At 43.9% G+C, this 5,788-nt stretch overlaps 1 pseudogene; it reads right to left on the reverse strand.

The window, feature by feature from the left end:
- On the reverse strand, window positions 3,020-3,669 carry RPL29P17 (ribosomal protein L29 pseudogene 17; annotated as a pseudogene).

Genomic DNA, 5,788 nt, shown 5'->3' on the forward strand with positions numbered 1-5,788 from the left:
CACGGAGAAATTAGAAGACATTCATGACTGTTTATTAGTTGTCTGATGGCTCTAAAAAGGGGAAACTTACCTTTTTCCAATCAAATATTTTCTCTCTACCTCGACTGTGGTAGGCTTGGGTGTTCATCCCATAGAACAGAGCTGCTTAAAGGTTGAAATCTTCAACAATTATGGGAAGCTGACTGCTGCGATGATGCACTAAAATGGGTGGAAGACAGTGGGCAGGGCACCCTCAGAGGTAGAGGGACCTCACAGGTGTTCTGGCCCAAACATCCTAAGGCCAGATGTGGCTCTAGGGAGTACGTGTATGTAAGTGATAAGGACAGCCATGTGTTCTATAAAAACAGAATGAGGCCGGGAGCAGTGGCTCACGCCTGTAATCCCAGCACTTTGGGAGGCCGAGGTGGGCGGATCATGAGGTCAGGAGATCGAGACCATCCTGGCTAACACTGTGAAACCCAATCTCTACTAAAAATACAAAAAATTAGCCGGGCGTGGTGGTGGGCGCCTGTAGTTCCAGCTACGCAGGAGGCTGAGGCAGGAGAATGGTGTGAACCCAGGAGGTGGAGCTTGCAGTGAGCCAAGATCGCACCACTGCACTCTAGCCTGGGTGACAGAGCGAGACTACCTCTCAAAAAAACAAAAAACAAACAAACAAACAAAAAAAACAGAATGAAAGGCACAGGAAGAGATAAGATGCATTTCTCACACAGCGGAAGAGCTCTGCAGGGAGAAATGTACAGAAAAAGGCAGCAGCAAACGGTCCTGCAAGCACAAGAGTAATGAAAATAAATACAGCTTACAAGCCTAATGAAGATCATTTCAGAGCAGGTTGAGACCCTAACTGATACAAATGAGGATCATTAGCTTCCCTGGGCTCTCCTGTTCAGTGTAGGACAAGAACCGTGCAAATAGAAGGAGATGACCAGGGCTATAATGGTAAAATTATAACCCCACGCCAGACCTGGGTCTTTTAATAAGAAGAGCCATGTTCATCTCCAGTCTCAAAGCCACTTGAGGGCCTGAAGACCATCAATATAGATGGCGCTTAGCTGTTCTCATCCGAGGATAACAAATGTTTTCAGAACCACCCACTTCTCTTCCCCCGCAATACGCATAAAGAAGATTCCAGATATGATTCTCTCTCAGGCTGAGATCAACCACACTGTTTATGATTATGAGGTGCCTACTACATGCTAGGCCTTGCACTAAGTACTTTGCTTGCATTATTTCATTTCATCCCATCCACAGGCCTGGGAGGTAGGTATTATCAATACTCCCATTTTAATGATAAGGATAACTAAGGTTCAGAGAGATTGGGTAACTTGCCCAAGGTCAAAAAGTAAGTGACAAGTCAGAGATTAAAATAGAAAGCCAGCTTTGATAGGTTGTTTTTAGGATCAACTGTTGTGGAGAGGTGACAAAAATGAAAATGAGCAGGCATGTCACAGCAAACACGAAAGGAAGAATTATTCATGAAGAGAAAGGACCTGTTCCAGGGCCCAGAGACAGAAAAGAACTTGGGAGGTGTGAGGACCTTCTAAGTGTCTATTGCTGACTAATTATCAGCCCCCACGATGTGACTTAAGATATCAGGGGCCTTGATTCTCCTTCATGTGGCCTCTCCACATGGCTGCTTGTGCTTCCTCCAGCATGGAGGCTGTGTTCCCATGGGGATGTGATGGAAGCTACTAGTCTTTTTAATGGCAAAGCACGGAACTGGCACAGTGGTACCTCCACCATATTCTTTTGGTCGACTCGGTCACAAGCCCTGCCCTAATTCAGTGGGAGGAATGACAAAGAGTTAAACAAAACAAAACAAAACAAAACAAAACCACTGTGGTGGAATCACAGTTGACTAAGGATGAAGGAGCAAGAAATGGAAGGGTTGTGGAACAAGGTGATGGGAGAGAGATTTTGCAAGCCTTTCTTGGCCATGTGAAGGACTTTGGATTTCATGCTAAGTGCAGACGAAACCTTTACTCCTTTTCCACCCTTGCTCTTATCTCAACTGTGGTAGAAGACTAATACAACTAAGGACTGGAGGGATTTCATCTTAAGTCCACAGAGCAAATCTACATGCACATAAGATGCATCTAATTCAGGCATTTAATGATTGTAAGGTATTAGTAAACTATCATCTTCAAATATAAGCTCCCCCAAAATACCATCTGTTGCTGAGGGACACACATAACATACCAGATTTCCAAGCTTCAGGAACAATGCCAATATACCTCCCCAGGTGTCGTGCCAGGTACTGCCACACCATGTTCATATGCAGAATGACTGCTGCTTGGTTTCTTGCCTACCCATCACCCTCACATACTTTATACCCTTGAACTCAAAAAAGCCCACAGCCCTTCAGTTTGTTAATTATCAGCCAGTCTGTCTGTATATAAACACTGCTTTGAGGTCAGGGAATTTTGCTGTGCCCGTGCAACTGAATCACTGGGTCCAATCTTCATGGTTAGAGAACTGGGTTTCTTGGTGCTAGTTAGAGTCATTCGGTGAGGAAGAAGTGAAGAGGAATAGCTTCCCTCTATTGCTAAAGCCAGAACTTCTCTGTACAACAAAGAATGTAAACGTTATAATACACTGGAGAGTGGGGTGATGCTACTCAACATATTAAATACCTTCTGTGCTGAGGTATCAAGACAAATCGGACAGACTCCAAATTCTTGAGTTGCTAAGAATAGAGAGAGGAATTATCCATAAATATGTTTTTTTCAATACAATGTAGTAAGTATAGTGATACAGGCATTCAAAGGGTACAATGAGATCCCAGAATTGGGGGCTCTAGCTGAGTTTTTGGGAGTGGTGAAGCAGGATAGGTTTCATAAAGGAGGCAATTTGGGACCAGAATTTAGGAGGAGTGGCAGTTAATAAAAGTATTTCAGGCAGACAAGAAATTGAAGAAGAAGAAAAAAGGCTCATTTATGTGAGGCAGCTAGGTAAGTGTCCGTTTTGAGGAGGAGGGTTGCATAAGAGGGCAACATTATTGGAATATAACTTTTTTTAAAACGAATCCTGCCTCAGGTTTATTTGTACAAATAGCACAGGAGGACACCAGCCCCATGCAGACGGCAGCCCAGGGGGTCACCCCAGTCCTTCTGTCCTCATATTGGCAGACAGAGATCTCTACCCTGAAGCCTTTGTAGGGGCCTGGGCACCTTTGGGAGCCTGAGTTGGAACTGAAGCTGGAGCTGCAGCCTGGGCCTTGATTTGGACCTGGGCCTTGGTTTGGTCCTGGGCCTTGGCCTTTGGCTGGCACAGCCTGAGCCCTTTGGCAATGCAGGCACAAGCACACGTCCAAAATTTGGGGTAGGCAATGTAGGCAAGTCAATTGAGCTCACAGCTGACACCCTTTGGGATCTTGGGCTTAACCTCTTTGGGCTTTACGAGGGCCTCGATAGCCTTGGCACATGTACTCACGGCCTTGGCACTGTCGGCCTGCATCTTCTTTAGGCCCTTCTTCTTGTGCTTCTTGGTAAAGCACATGTTCCCCAGGAACTTGGGGTCCACCCCCTTAAGAGATTTGTATCTTTGTGATAGGGGTTTCTTGATGACATTTCTGTGCCATTTTCGGGACTGGTTGTGTGTGGTGTGGTTCTTGGACTTGGCCATGTCTGCACCTTAAGCCACAGCTCCTGAAGCACCTAGAACCAGAAGTTGAATATAACTTTAACACAAGTTGTGAGAAGGGACAGAAAGGAAAAGATAAACAGTGGGCAGATCACAGAGGGCTGTGTATACTATATTAAATAACTTCGTATTTATGCTGTAACTATCAATGATTTTAAAGGAGAATGACTTGATCAGATTTTTGTTTTAGATAAATTATTCTGGTAGAAATATAAAGACAGATAATATTGAGCCAAGACTGAAAGGAAGAGAGACCTGTAGGAGGTACTGACTCAATAGTGCAGGTTTGTTATATAGGTAAACTCATGCCATGGGAATTTGTTGTACAGATTATTTCATCACCCAGGTACTAAGCTTAGTGCCCAATAGTTATCTTTTCTGCTCCTCTCCCTCCTCCCACCCTCCACCCTCAGGTAAGCCCCCGTGTCTGTTGTTCCTCTTTTTGTATCCATGTGTTCTCCTCATTTAGCTCCTACTTTTAAGTGAGACCATGCAGTATTTGGTTTTCTCTTCCTGCATTAGTTTGCTAAGGATAATGGCCTCCAGCTCCAACCATGTCCCTGCAAAGGACATGGACTCATTCTTTTCTATTGCTGCATAGTATTTCTTGGTGTATATGTACCACATTTTCTTTATCCAGTCTACCATTGATAGGCATTTAGGTTGATTCCATGTCTTTGCTGTTGTGAATAGTGCTGCAATGAACACGCATGTGCATGTGTCTTTATGATAGAATAATTTCCATTCCTTTGGGTATATACCCAGTAATGGGATTGCTAGGTCAACTGGTAGTTCTGTTTTTAGCTCTTTGAGAAATTACCATACTGATTTCCACAATGGTTGAACTAATGTGCACTCCCATCAACAGTGTATAACCATCTACTTTTCTCAGCAACCTTGCCAGCCTCTGTTATTTTTTGACTTTTTAATAATAGTCATTCTTACTGGTGTGAGAGACCTGTCTTATTAATAAGATAAGGAAATCTAATAGAAAAAGGGAACAATTTGTGACACAAGATATAGAATGATATGAGGGGTTGGAATCAAGGGGTGGTCTTTAAAACTTGGAAGAGGAACCTTATCCTCTGAGACTGGTGAAGGAAGAGTTCAGACCTCCCTATGATAGGATGTGAGGAGCAGGAAGGAAGTGCATATCTGGCAGTATTCCATTCCTCCCTTTTTCTGAGCCCAGGGTGAAAGTATAAATAGATACTCACATGTCTATATCCAAATATTTAAAATTTATCAGTCAAGCAAAAAGTAGTTAAAATATGTTAGATATGTATGTTCAATAGAAAATGCCTATCTTGACAGATATACCTTCTTTAAAATTTGGGAAGCCAACTTTATTTCGAGTTTTGGACTCCTCGGAGTTCTATGCTAGAATATAGAGACCTAAGAGAGCCACCCCAGCCCATGATCCAATTCTCTTGTCTTCCTACTTCTGGCCCCACAATATACCACGAGAGACCTACAAGGACACATGTAGACACCCAAGCCTGCAAGCCCAGACTCAGGCCACATCCCCCTGGAAATAGCCACTCCTTGGCCACCCCTTGAGCTTAGAGATGCATCCACAGTGGGTTCAGCCATCCTTGGGGGAAAAGATTCTGGAAGAAGTTCATGGAGGACCTATAAACAGGCTCATGGCAATCTGTGCAAGGAATTCTGAGGTTCTGGGTACTCATAGCATAATGTAGAAAAGGAAATGTGGTTCTGGGTGGACATGTCCCCCTTAGATTCACACACCCCTTGCCCTGTATGAAGGAGCTCAGCTATGAGGCCAGAATGATGCTCTCTGAAGATCAGGGCACAGGGCAGAAGCTCCTCTTGCCCAGGCCTAGGGGTGGTACAGTCCAGTAGCCTCTATGTTCTTGACGGAACCCAAAAACAAAAAAACAAAAAAAAAAGAAAGAAAGAAAGCTAAAGTTATTAGCCAACACTGAAGTTGGTTGGGGATCCATCCAGAGGAACCAATGCTACCTCTCAGGTTTTGTTCTTTTAACTCCCGGGAAACAGTATCCAAGTAGTTTGTCAGGAGAATTTGTTTTTTCTCTTGAAGTAGAAGCACTCACCAGTCAAGCAAGCATGGATTAGAATCCCTGAGGTACTACAGCTTACAGGCATTTGCTTGGTAGATTCTTTT

This window comes from Homo sapiens, chromosome 6, assembly GCF_000001405.40.
Source record: "Homo sapiens chromosome 6, GRCh38.p14 Primary Assembly".
Classification (NCBI taxonomy): domain Eukaryota; kingdom Metazoa; phylum Chordata; class Mammalia; order Primates; family Hominidae; genus Homo; species Homo sapiens.